Source organism: Homo sapiens, chromosome 12, assembly GCF_000001405.40.
Source record: "Homo sapiens chromosome 12, GRCh38.p14 Primary Assembly".
NCBI classification, from domain to species: Eukaryota; Metazoa; Chordata; class Mammalia; order Primates; family Hominidae; genus Homo; species Homo sapiens.
This window is the reverse complement of record NC_000012.12, coordinates 131,518,630-131,532,420: the sequence shown is the minus strand read 5'-3', so window position 1 is coordinate 131,532,420 and position 13,791 is coordinate 131,518,630. Positions and strand designations below refer to the sequence as shown.

Sequence of the window (13,791 nt, the reverse complement as noted above, 5' to 3'; positions counted from 1 at the left end):
TCGCTAACAGAAATGCTTTTCTAAGACCTGTAATGGTTTGTAATAAGTTAACAACTTCACCCATAGATACCCACTTCTAATATTCATTACGCAAATAACAACACATCTGGTGTTGATCACACTTAGTATTTGTAATGGCTGCTCTATAAACTCACCAACCCAGGTTGCAAACTCCTGGGGGCAACAGACTCACCTAGGATAGAGGTGAAACAACCCTCCTCTGCAGTCCTTTGTATCTGGGGGAGGCAGACGGCAGCTCACAGGTAGAAGATGGAGGGAGGACGTCTTGAGTGTGGTTAGGTGTGAAGGAGACAGGTCAGATGGGCTGGGGCTAAATGTGGGTTTGGATGCAGAGATTCTAGTCATGAACTGCCTCTTATTCTAGGCGGGGGATTTCGGAAAACCTGAGTCCAGCAGGTTCAATAAACACATCCAGAGCCAGTGAAACCTGCTGTACCCATGGATTTTAACTTCAGAGAATGGTAACTTGAGATTTAAGGAGAGTTCTTCATAGGATGGAAAGGCTGGGAGCAACATCACCCCAACGTCCCTGAGGAAAGACAGGTGTTTCCAAGGAAAGGCATGATGTGAGCATGTGCTTTCCTGGGGGCCTCGGGGTGCCAGATGCCCTAAAAGCCAGTGAGGAGAATTCATCTCAAATGCTGCTCAGATCGCTGAGAGCCTGAATGAGGATGCAGAACTCCAGGGGTCAGAGACACAAAGGGGTCACATGCTAGTGGGCTCTCTTCCCCGGACCCTTACCTGGTGCTCCCAAGAGAGATGGAGGCAGGGTGTGAGTGTGGGAGAGCCCCTTGGTGTGTATTTTAATAAACTCAGTTTACTGATGTATTGCGGTGAGGAAGAACACATACCTTGGGGAAGTGTGGACCTCTCAGTAAGACAGCATCAAAAGCACTTAGCGTAGGACTTGGACCTGTGTTAGGTGACTTGGGGGGAGGTTTAAGAAAGTGGAGTTTCTCTGAATTAGATGCTATTAGGAAGCGGGGAGTATTTCTGTGATTAAGCACTACTATGGTTTGAATGTTTGCCCCCTTCAAAACTCGTGATAGCGTTGAGAAGTGGGGCTGTTAAGAGGTGTTCAGCTCATGAACGGATTCATGCTGTTATGGTGGTTTACCTCCTCTCTCTGTCTGCCATGTTATGATACAGCAAGAAAGTCCTCACCAGATGCCAGGACCTTCATAATGGACTTCCTAGACTCCAGAACTCTGAGCCAATATACTTCTATTTATTATAAATTTCCCAGTTTGTGGTATTCCTTTTTTGTTGTTGTTGTTGAGACAGAGTCTCACTCTGTCACTCAGGCTGGAGTGCAGTGGCATAATCTCAGCTCAATGCAACCTCCACCTCCTGGGTTCAAGCGATTCTCCCACCTCAGCCTCCCTAGTAGCTGGGATTGCAGGCACCCACCATCATGCCTGGCCAATTTTTTTTTTTTTTTAGTAGAGACAGGGCTTTGCCATGTTGGCCAGGCTGGTCTTGAACTCCTGACCTCAGGTGATCCGCTCACCTCCTCCCAAAGTGCTGGGATTACAGGTGCGAGCCACTGTGCCTGGTCCCAGTCTGTGGTATTCTGTTATAGCAGCAGAAAATGGATGAAGACAGGCACCTTAACAATTCTTAGGTTGAAGCTAAGAAGAGCAGAGCAAGGCTGCTGCTGTGCTTGGTGCTGATGCTGCAGTCTCTCACACTGGCCAAGATAGAGGGAACGTTGATTGTTTTGTGGTTTGGAACATGCTCGTGTTTTGTCTGTAATCTGATATGATCACAGTTGTTCTTGTTTTTGTCTTGCTTCCTCATGTCACAGATGGTTCTGTGTGATCCAGGTGTTCCGTGAAGTGTGGGTTCACCAGGAGAACAGCTTCGCCTGACTGTAAGCAACAGGACGGCTCCCATCTGATGACATAACAACTTGGACAGATTGCAAGAGAATAGTGCAAAAGGCTGGTCTCAAAATGCTCCAGGCTGAATGCTTCCATTTGTGTAATATTCTTCAAGTGACACAATTACAGAGAGGAAGCTTTTAAAGAATAGCAGATCAGCTTCAACTCCCATAAGTAAAAGGACTTAAGTTCTGAGAAGGTGGGGGATCAGGGGCGGCCAGTTCCAGGCTCAGTGGAGGTAGCAGGTGTTTCTGCTCAGCCTCGGTGGATCTTCTGCATCGGCTTGGTCTTGTGACCCCATACCCCCACTTTGTGGCACCTCCTGTCCTGGCTCTGACCCATTGCCTAGCCCCCATCTGGGCTCTGATCCATCCCAGGTCTCTCCCAGCATGGACACGTGAAAGCGAGTGGTGCCCACTTGCAGCTCTGAGGTTCCCGGATAGAGAGGGAGGCTCTTTCCCAGCGCTCCCTGTGCAAGTCCTAGTCTGGTTCTGATTGGCCACAGCGGGTCACATGTTTGTCCCAGAACCAATCACTGGAAACGGGATGGAGTCGCTTGATTGGTCAGGCCTGCATCACATGACCCCCTTGTGGGGTCAGCACCCAACCACAGAAAGGGCGTGGTGGGGGTGGGGGGTCTCTGTGAAGAGAAGAGGTGCCTGCAGCAGAGCCTGCCCTGTCCCCTCCGTGGTTCCACATCCGTGCCTCTGAGGACCTTGGACCCCCAAAGCGAGGCCCGAAGGTGTGGAGAATGCCTGACAGGCTCCCTTGCCCTTCCTGTGGCCTGCGGAGGACCCCCAGGGACAGTGAGGAGGGCGCCTTGCCGGTACCGATGTTCTGCTTGTTGTGGGTCTTTTGTTCCTGATCCCATTTCTTTTCTGATTTTCAAGTTAAAGTTAATTTTTTTTCTTGCAACTCCCACCCAAACCAAAATATTTTATTTTTAATTGACAAATAATAATAGTATATACTTACGGGCTGACAGATACATGAAAAATGCTGATCATCCTGGCCCCTGCAGTCAGGGCAGAGCTGAGGTTGGCTTGGGGCCATGTCAGAGCGAGGGGGCGTCTCTGGGCTGTGCCCCCAACCAAAGCCTCCCACACCAACCCTGCATCAGGGCCAGAAGTGGCTGCACCCGGGGCCAGACAGTGGTCCACAGGAAAAGCCTCCCTTGGTGTGTCCCTGCCAGTGGATGAACCGATCACCAGCGCAAAGTCATGGGCCATAGGGCAGGACCCCAGCCTGTGTGTGTGGCCTAGACTGGGGCACAGTTGGGTTTTCTGGAGGTCTTGCCCTTTGACCTGCTGCTTTTGAAGAGTGATGCTTTCAGGAGGAGGTGAAGTCATGGGGATCTGCCCTCTGAATGGGATCTGTGGCCTTAGAAAAGAGGCCTGATCTGGTTAGGATCTGTGTCCCCTCCCAAATCTCACGTCGAATTATAATCCCCTGTGTTGGAGGTGGGGCCTGGTGGGAGGTGATGGGATCATGGGGTGGATTGTTCATGAGTGGTGTAGCAGCAGCTCTTTGCTGCTGCTCTCGTGACAGAGTTCTCATGAGATCTGGTTGTTTAAAAATGTGTGGCACCTCCCATCCCTTGGTGTTCCATTCATGTGATATGCCAGCTTCCCCTTCACCTTCCGCCATGATTGTGAGTTTCCTGAGGCCTCCCCAGAAGCCAAGCGGAAGCCACCATGCTTCCTGTACAGTCTGTGGAACCGTGAGCCAATTCAACCTCTTTTCTTTATAAATTACCCAATCTCAGGTATTTCTTTACAGCAGCATGAGAACGGCCTAATACAAAGCCTACTGAAGCTGCCTGTCCCTTCTCCCTGGGAAGATGCAGTGAGGAGGTGCGCCCGAGGACCCTCACCAGATATTGAATCCTCTGGCCCCTTGACCTTGGCCTTCCCGGCCTCCAGAACTGTGAGCAACACGTCTCTGTTGTTTCCAATGACCCAGTCTAAGGTATTTCACTATAGCAGCCCAAATGGACTCAAGACGCCTCCTCCACGTGTGTATTTCATAAATGTTATAAACCAGCGCTGCCTCGCCCACCTCCCCTGCTCCTTTCCCAGCTACTAATAGGGAAGCTCGTCGGTCTCTGCTCCACAATGGGTGGTGCTGACTGAGGCTGTGGGCCCTGGTGGTTGATGAGGAGTGAAGCAGGGGGAGGCGCTTAGAGACTGGGTTTACTCCCTCTTCCCTGAAGTTCTACTCAGACACACGAGGGGCCACGTCTGGCTCATTGGCATCTCCTGGGCTAAGTAGTTTGCAGGGGGACAGAGGATGAGAGGCCATCATTGTGGTTGTCATCATTGCTGCTGTTTGGGATGTCGGGAGGTTGGGGTGGTGCCAGCCCCGTGCACATGACTCCAACCGTCCTGGCCACATTGACTGGGCTCCCTTCCACTCCCCATCTCCTGCTGGGAGCCCTGTGTTCTGAGGGTCCACAGGTAGCAATGGGCTGTGTGGGAGGGGATCCTGAGCAGCACTGAGGTTACCAGCTGGGCGGGGTCCTGGCTGCAGCCGTCTCTCAGCCCAGGTTCCCTCTTACACATCAGTCAGGGCCTGGCCACACCCTCAGGGGCTGAGCCAGTCTTTGGGGGAGCCACAAACAAGGACAGCTTCCTCGGCCAGAGGAGTTTCTGATTAGCTGGATGTGGTCATGACCCAAACGGGTGGAGTGCGCACGTCTAGGGTGAGGCGCGTACCTGCTCTGGGATGGGATCTCCCTGCGAGGCAGTGACTGTTGCAAAGGGAAAGGATTGTGGAATTTGAGCTTCCATCAGTGGCGTCTACAAAGAGCTCTGAGCAAGGCCGATTTCTCTTTTTTAAATTTTTAAATTATTATTTTTTTAGAGTCAGGGTCTTGCTGTGTCACCCAGGCTGGAGTGCAGTGGTGCCATCACAGCTCACTGGCTCACCTTGCCTTCCTGGGCTCAGGTGGTCCTCCCACCTCAGCCTCCCAAGTAGTTGGGACCACAGGCGCCTGCCACCTCACCTGGCTAATTTTTGTATTTTTTATAGAGATGGAGCCCTGCCATGTTGCCCAGGCTGTCTCGAACTCCTGGCCTCAAGTGATCCTCCTGCTTCACCATCTTAAAGTGCTGGGATTACAGGCGTGAGTGATTTTTCTTTCAGTGAATCGCTGTCAGCTGTGGGAGGACACACCTTTGGGGCTGTGTGGTCGAGCTCCTCGGGTCCACGGGCCGCAGCGCCTCCCTGGGGGCTGCGTGAGGATCACCTGCCATTGCTTTACCAACCCTGCCCTTTAAAGAGTGTTAGAGGCTTCAGTGAGAGGTCCTCGCACTCCCTGGAGGTCTGGGAGAACCATTCATCTTGTCGACCAAAATGCAGAAATGAAATGTCTTCAGAACAGACTCCAGTCCTCTCAGTCATCAAACTCCTGGCTGGAGCATGGCCAGTTGGGAGGGGCTTTAAAGGACGTTTAGTGACAGACGGTGGGAAGGGTAAGTTGTATTCAAGCCTGCTGTTCCTTGTTCTCCCTCTCTCTACTGACTTAAACCCTCTAGAACCGCAGAGCCTGGGCAGAACAGGCCCCTGTCTCAGATGTTGCCCTTGACATCTGGCTTTTACTTCTGACCGTGGTCAGTGACAGCTGGGGTTCCGAGGTGGCGCTGCCTGGCTCCTTCACCACCCACATGGCATGGGGTATGGTGCCAAGAACCCAGCACCCCTGTGTCTCCCAGACTTTCTGCAGCCCCTGTTGTCATTCCTGTGGAGACATTACCTCCAGGGTCTCACCCCCAGAACCCCCTGGTCACACTGTGTTAATATCCATCAACCCTGGGACAACAGTTTTGGGGCTTGTGTGCAGAGGGCATCACCAGGGAGATTTAAAATGTGAAGGCAGGCCGGGCGTGGTGGCTCACGCCTGTAATCCCAGCACTTTGGGAGCTTGAGGCAGGTGGATTGCTTGAACTAGGGAGTTTGAGATCAGCCTGGCAACATGACGAGACCCCATCTCTACAAAAAATACAAAAATTAGCCAGGTGTCATGATGCGCGCCTGTGGCCCCATCTACTCGGGAGGCTGAGGTGGGAGGATGGCTTGAGCCCAGGAGGTGGAGGCTGCAGTGAGCCAAGATTGCACCACTGCACTCCAGACTGGACGACAGAGTGAGACCCTGTCTCAAAAAGAAAAATCTAGAGGCGGCTCCCACCCCGGAGACTCGGTCTGTCTTGCTCACCAGAAGCCTGAGACTTGGCATGGGGCAGGGGTGGCCTTCATGTGTCCCTTGATTTTCACTTCCCAGCCCTACAGGGGCCCAGGGGCTGCATCCATCAGAAGGAGGGACGCCTTCTCCAGTCACTCAAAAGCTCTGAGGCCGAGCTGCCACCCTGCCAGGCAGCAGCTACAGGAGCTCTGCTGGTCAGCAAGGTCCTGGCCAGTGCGGCAGGGGAGCTGGTGGAGGGGCAGGTCCAGCCAGAGCCCAGCTGCACCGTGTCAGGGATTCACAACTCAGCGGGGCTTGAGGAGCCACATCCCCCAGGTGTATGGAGGAGAAGAGATGCTCTAGCCCCTGGTCAGCGGCCGGCAGGCCCACAGGGCCAGGGAGGCAATGGCGGTATGTGCTGGGGGCACGCAAACCCGCAGCCCACCTGACCTAGGACAGCGGCCGCCGCTGCTGGGTTCGTTCCGCCCCTTACAGGCTCGGTGCTGTCAGGTTTCTGAATTTTCAAGCAAAGCCAGAAATCCAGGTTTTCACCTGAAATCTGATTCTTAAAAGTTGGTGCAATTTCAAAGACATTTTACAACAGACTGTTCAGACCCTAAAAATACTTCTGACACTACAAGATGTCCGTGGCCACCACTGTGCAATCTCTGCTAGAGAGTGCAGTTTCTGGATTGAAGGCATTTTCTTTCTTTAGGTGGAAACAGTTGCTTTATTTCTTGACAGAAAGAACTGACAACTCTCCTTCCAAGACAGGTTATTCCTACTTCAAAGATGGAGAGTTGTGTTTCACTCAACCCTATTGTTGGGGAGTTTTAATTGCTAGCCTTTCTTGTGTTTGTGTGTTTGAGGGACCACAGGTGGCCCCGGAATGTTTTATGCAGTGACAACCATTTGTTGGGGAAGGCCAGCAAATCCAGAAAATCTAAGGGTGTCCTTCCACAGCCAGAGTCCAGCTGGGACAGATCAATCCCACCCCATGCTCTAGTGAGAGGGGTGCTGGCTGCTTAGGAATCACATCCTTGTTTATTTACCAAAAAAAAGTCAATTCTCTAGTAAGCCATTCAGAGAAGAAAATGTACTAACTGTCCAAACCCAGACTCTACCTGTAGGGACATCTGGATGTGGTTTCTTTTGTTGAGGACGGCAGGTTACCATCGACAAGTGTGTGCCCTCTCGAAGGTCTACCTTAGAAGGTAAAGTGATTCTGAAGTTCTGCTTCTGGAGAATAAATGACTGCCACATCTTCCTTCGAGGTAGGATGAAGCTGAGAAGGTAGCATGTAATTTGAAGTTGTGTTGTCAGGCGGTGGATGTTTAGGATCGTCATGTCTTCCTGGCACATGGACCTGTTCGTCAGCGTAGAATCTCCTTGTTCTGAAGTCCACTTGGCCTGAAATCAATGTTGCACTCCAGCTTTCTTTCAGGTAGTGTTAGCATAGTATCCCTTCTCCTTGCTTTACTCCTGACAGGTGTACGTTTTCATGTTTAAAATGGGTTTCTTATAAACAGCCTGTATTTGATGCTTGCCTATTTCTGTCCAGTCTGGCGTTCTCTGCATGTTAACTGGTGGCTTTGACCACCCACATTTAAAAGGATTATTGATGGAATGAGAGTAATAATTACCATCTTGTCAGTTGTCTTGTATTTTTCCATTTGTTCTGTTTTTTTCCCTTTCTTTCTGCCTTGCCTGAGTTTAATGGTGCATTTGTTATTATTCCATTTCATCTTCTCAGTTGATATTATGTAGAACCTGTTTTAAAACATTTGGTTGTGAACTGTGGTTTGTAATATTCATTTTTTAAATCATCCGAGTCCACCTCCAAGTAATATACTATTGCTTCACTGGAAGCATGCGGACCTTGTAGTGGGATGTCCCCACCCCCCTCTGCCATCATGCGGACCTTGTAGCGGGATGTCCCCAGCCCCCTCTGCCATCATGCGGACCTTGTAGCGGGATGTCCCCACACCCCTCTGCCATCATGCAGACCTTGTAGCGGGATGTCCCCACCCCCTCTGCCATCCCTGTGCCACTATCACTCCCACGCATTTCTATTTTCCGTGTTATGCCCTCAGTACATTGGTACTATTTGTCTTAGTTTCTTTGGGCTGCTCTAACAAAATACCATCAGCTTGGTGGCTTCTAAACACGAACACTTATGTCTCGCAGTTTTGGAGGCTGGGAAGTCTCAGATCAAGGCACGGGCAGATTTGGCATCTTGTAAGAGCCTACCTCCTGGCTCACTGATGGCAACTTCTCACTGTGTCCTCAATGGTGGAAGGGGAAGGCAGCTCTCTGTGGTACCTTTTATGAGGGCCCTAATCCCACTCATGAAGACTCCTCCACCCTCATGACCTCATCACCTGCCAAAGACCCCACCTCCTAATGACACCACTTCAGGGGTTAGGATTTCAAAAGATGAGTTGTACAGGGGACACCAACCTTCCAACCATAGCACTACTATTGCTTAGTCATTGATCTTTCAGAGCAATTAAAAATAGAAAAAATAGATATGTTATCTTCGTTTATTCCATTTTTATGATATTGACGCCTTTTCCGCTCCGTGTTTCTGACCTGTGTCATACTCCCTTTGCTTCTTTCACCATTTCTCATAGGGCAGGTCTGCTGAGTGCATGCCCTCAGTTTTGTTTATCTGGGAGAGTCTTTCTTTCTCCTTCACTTTTGAAGGATACTTTCAATAGCTGTAGAATTCTGAGAGCTTTTTATTCTTTTAGCACTTTAAAGATGTTACTTACTTATATTTTTGCTTGCATCAATTCTTTTTTTTCTTCAACTTTTAAGTTTGGGGGTACATGTGCAGGATGTGCAGTTTTGTTACATCGGTAAACGTGTGCCGTGGTGGTTTACTGCACAGATCATCCCATCATCTGGATATTAAGCCCAGCATGCATTAGGTATTCTTCCTGATGCTCTCCCTCCCCCTTCACCCCTTCTCCGACAGGGCCCAGTGTGTGTTGTTCCCCCCAGCTGTCCATGTGTTCTCATCATTCAGCTCCCACTTATAAGTGAGAACATGCAGCAGTTGGTTTTCTGCTCCTGCATGAGTTTGCTGAGGATAACGGCTTCCAACTCCATCCATGTCCTGCAAAGGATATGATCTTGTTCCTTTTTATGGCTGCGTAGTATTCCAAGGTGTATATGTACCACATTTTCTTTACCCAGTCTATCATTGATGGACATTTGGGTTGATTCCATGTCTTTGCTATTGTGAATAGTGCTGTGGTGAACATACATGTGCATGTATCTTTATAATAGAATGATTTATATTCCTCTGGGTATATACTCAGTAATGGGATTGCTGGGTCAAATGGTATTTCTGCCTCGAAGTCTTTGAGGGATCACCACACTGTCTTCCACAATGACTGAACTTATTTTCACTCCCACCCACAGTGTGAAAGCATTCCTTTTTCTCTGCAACCTTGCCAGCATCTGTTGTCTATTGACTTTTTAATAATAGTCATTCTGATGGGTGTGAGGTGGTATCTCATTGTGGTTTTGATTTGCATTTCTCTAGTGATCAGTGACGTTGAGTTTTAAAGACCTAAATGTAAAACCCAAAACTATAAAATCCCGAGAAGAAAATCTAGGCAGTACCATCCAGGACATAGGCACGGGCAAAGGTATCATGACAAAAATGCCAAAAGCAATTGTAACAAAAGCAAAAATTGACAAATGGGATCTAATTAAACTAAAGGGCTTCTGCACAGCAAAATAAACTATCATCAGAGTGAACAGGCAACCTACAGAGTGGGAAAAAATTTTTGCAATCTACCCATCTGACAAAGGTCTAATATTCGGAGTCTACGAGAAAAAACCAACCCCATTAAAAAGCGGGCAAAGGACATGAACAGACAGACACTTCACAAGAAGACATACATGTGGCCAACAAACATATGAAAAAAAGCTTGCATAATTTCTGTGAGAAGTACTGTATAACTTTTATCCTTGTTTTTCCGTAGGAAATATACATGTGGCCAAACAAACATATGAAAAAAAGCTCACATAATTTCTATGAGAAGTATTCCATAACTTTTATCCTTGTTTCTCTATGGGTAATGCTTCCCGTTCACCCCTTTCTGGTCGTGTTCAGGATTTTCTTCCTGTCTGGTTTCGGCAGTTTGAATGTGATATGCCTCGGTGTTGTTTTTGGTGTGGTCATTGTTCATCCTTCTTGGTGTTCTTTAGTTTCTTAGATTTGTGATTTGTTGTCACTAATTTTGGTAAATTCGCAGTGATCGTTCTTTCAAATATTCCATTCTCTCTTCTCCATCTACAATTCCAAGTGCAGCCATTTTAGAGTTGCTGATTTTGTTTCACTCTTTGTGGAATTTTTCCTTCTGCTGGGCCCCTAGGGTGAGGGCCTGTGCTGACCTACCTAGTCAGGAGCCCCGTTGGGTTTGAAGTTTGCTGTTGCTATGGTTACCTTGCTCCACTGGAGACTTCCCACTCCTCTAGAGACAGGAGACACCTTGCATTTTCTCCCTCTTTGCCTTGGCTCCCCCCTTCCACGCTGCTCTTCAGAGCAGTTGCCGTCTACAGATCATCTTATTCATGGCTTCTTATCCTGGTGGTGGGATGTAGGGGCACATTCTCTGATGCTCTGGTCAGGCCTTACTTGGGGGTGGGGAGCTGTAAAATCGGATCTGGGATCTGGCATCCCAAGTGTCCCTTCCCCTCTCCCAGGGCAGAGCTGTTTTTGTTTCCTTGTTCCCCTCCCTATCTGCAGTGGGATCCCCAGGGCCCCCAGCACTGGCACCGTGGTCCCGTCCCCCCTGGGTGGTGTCTCGACAGTGGCCCAGCCCTCCCCGCTGCCTTGTTGCAGGGAAGAAGTCCTCACCCATCACCTCCCAGAGGCCAGGTCAACCACAGCCGAGCCCACACCACCTCCCAGAGACCAGATCAAATTGTTCACTGCTGGTGTATATAAATGCTACTGATTTTTATACATTGATTTTGTATCATGCAGGTTTCCTGAATTTGTTTATCAGTTCAAATAGGTTTTTGGTGGAGTCTTTAGGTTTTTCTAAATATAAAATCATGTCATCTGCAAACAAGAATAATCTGACTTCTTCCATTACAATTCGAATGTTCTTTATTTCTTTCTCTTGCCTAGTTGCTCTGGTCAGGACTTCTCGTATTATGTTTTTTTTCTGAGACGGAGTCTTGCTCTGTCGCCCAGGCTGGAGTGCAGTGGCACGATCTCGGCTCACTGCAAGCTCCGCCTCCCGGGTTCACGCCATTCTCCTGCCTCAGCCTCCCAAGTAGCTGGGACTACAGGCGCCTGCCACCATGCCTGGCTAATTTTTTGTATTTTTAGTAGAGATGGGGTTTCACTGTGTTAGCCAAGATGGTCTTGATCTCCTGACCTCGTGATCCACCGCCTTGGCCTCCCAAAGTGCTGGGATTACAGATGTGAGCCACCGCACCTGACCCTGTTTTGTTTTGTTTTGAGACAGAGTCTCACTCTGTTGCCTAGACTGGAGTGCAGTGGCGTGATCTTGGCTCACTGCAGCATCGACCTCCTGGCTCAACCAATCCTCCCAAGTGGCTGGGACTACAGATGTGTGCCACCACGCCAGGCTAATTTTTGCATTTTTAGTAGAGATAGGGTTTCACCATGTTGGTCAGGCTGGTTTCAAACTCCTGACCGCAAGTGATCTGCCTGCCTTGGCCTCCCAAAGTGTGAGATTACAGACGTGAGCCACCATGCCTATCCTCTAATACTATGCTGAATAAAAGTGGTGAAAGTGGGCATCCTTTTCTTGTTTGATCTTCCAGAAAAGGCTTTCAGTTTCTCCCCATTCAGTGTTTGGTTGGCTGTGGGTTTGTCATTTATGGCCTTTTTTATTTTGAGGTATGTTCCTTCTATTCCCAGTTACAGGTTCTTAACATGAAGGGATGTTGAATTTTATCAAATGCTTTTTCAGCATCTATTGAAATGATCATATGGTTTTTTTCTTGGTTCTGTTAATGTGATGTACCACATTTATTGATTTCCACGTGCTGAGCCATCCTTGCATCTTTGGGATGAATGCCGCTTGATCACGGTAAATGATCTTTTTAATATGTTGTTGAATTTCATTTGCCAGTAGTTTGTTGAGTATTTTTGCATATTTGTTCATCAGTGATATTGGCTTGTAGTTGTTGTTGTTGTATCCTTGTCTGGCTTTGGTATCAAGGTAATGCTGGCTTCATAGATGAGTCTGGAAATATTCCCTTCCCTTTGATTTTTTTTTTTTTGAAGCATTTGAGTAGAATTGGTATTAGTTCTTTTTTAAATGTTTGGTAGAATTCAGCAGTGAAGCCATCAGGTCCTGGGCTTTTCTTTGCTGGGAGACTGTTACAGCTTTGATCTCATTATTGGTTTGCTTAGGTTTCCTGTTTCTTCATGGTTCAATCTTGGTATATTGCATGTGTTCAGGAATTTATCCATTTCTTCTAGGTTTTCCAGTTTGTTGGTGTATTGTTGTTCATAATAGTTTCTAATTATTTGTAGTTCCGTGGTCTCCGTTGTTACGTCTTCTTTTTAATTTCTAATTTTATTTATTTGGCTCTTCTCTCTTTTTTCTTTGTCTTGCTAAAGGTTTGTTAATTTCATTTATCTTTTCAAGACCCAACTTTTCATTTTATTGATCTTATGTATTGTTTTTTAGTCTCATTTTCCCTTATTTCTGCTCTGTACTTTATTATTTCTGTCCTTCTATTAATTTTGCATTTTTTTCTTGCCTTTCTAGTTCCTTGAGGTGCATTGTTGGGTTATTTATTTGAAGTCTTTCTACTTTTGTGTTGTAGGTGTTTCTTTTTATAAACCTCCCTCTTAGTACTGCATTTGCTGTATCCCATAGCTTTTGGTATGTTGCATTTCCATTTTTATTTGTTTCAACACATTTTTAAATTTCTTTATTAACTTCTTAATTTCTTCATTGTACATTCATCATTCAGGAGCATGCTGGTTAATTTCCATGTGTTTGTGCAGTTTCTGAGTTTCCTCTTTTATTGATTTCTAGTTTTATTCCATTGTGGTTAGAAAATACTTGATGTGATTTCTACCTTTTTGAATTTGTTGAGGCTTAAGATATGGTATATTCTGGAGACTGTTCCATATGCTGATGAAAATAATGTGTATTCTGCAGCAGTTGGGTGAAATGTCCTATAAGTGTCAGTTAAACCTATTTGGTTTAGTGTATAGTTTAACTCCAGTGTTTCTTTGTTGATTTTGTTTGCATGATCTGTCCATCACCGAGAGTGGGGTGTTGAAGTCCCCTACTATTACTGTATTGTAGTCTATCTCTCTCTTTAGATCTATTAATGTTTATATATTCTGGTGTTAGGTGAATAGATATTTATAATTGTTATATCTTCTTGCTGAATTGACTCACTTTTATCTTTATATAGTGACTTTCCTTGTCTTCTTTTATACTCTTTTGACTTGTAGTCTATTTTATGTGATATAAGTACAGCTACCTCTGCTCTTTTTGGTTTCAGTTTGCATGAAATATCTTTTTCTGTCTTTTACTTTTAGTTTCTGAGTGTCTTTCTAGGTGAGGTGGGTTTCTTATAGGCAGCATATAGTTGGATCTTGTTTCTTTATCCATTCAGCCACTCTGTATTTTAACTGGAGAGCTGAGTCCATTTACATTAAGTATTATTCTTGATAAGTGAAGACTT

General features: G+C 47.1%; 1 long non-coding RNA gene across 1 annotated transcript in view, besides 1 other annotated feature; it reads left to right on the top strand.

The window, feature by feature from the left end:
- Positions 1 to 2,546: 2,546 nt before the first annotated feature.
- The window catches only part of LOC101929974 (uncharacterized), a 76,895-nt gene continuing 65,650 nt past the window's right edge, over positions 2,547 to 13,791 (top strand). Inside the window, exon 1 of the long non-coding RNA NR_187799.1 lies at positions 2,547 to 2,646. This is a non-coding gene — a long non-coding RNA (uncharacterized LOC101929974). The remainder of the gene's footprint in view (positions 2,647 to 13,791) is intronic.
- Positions 3,870 to 4,369: an enhancer, noted in NCBI's record as "H3K4me1 hESC enhancer chr12:132012597-132013096 (GRCh37/hg19 assembly coordinates)". NCBI's record gives its function as "activates a minimal SCP1, AML or CMV promoter by ChIP-STARR-seq in primed H9 embryonic stem cells {active_cell/tissue: H9 hESC(primed)}" and the evidence as "EXISTENCE:reporter gene assay evidence [ECO:0000049][PMID:30033119]".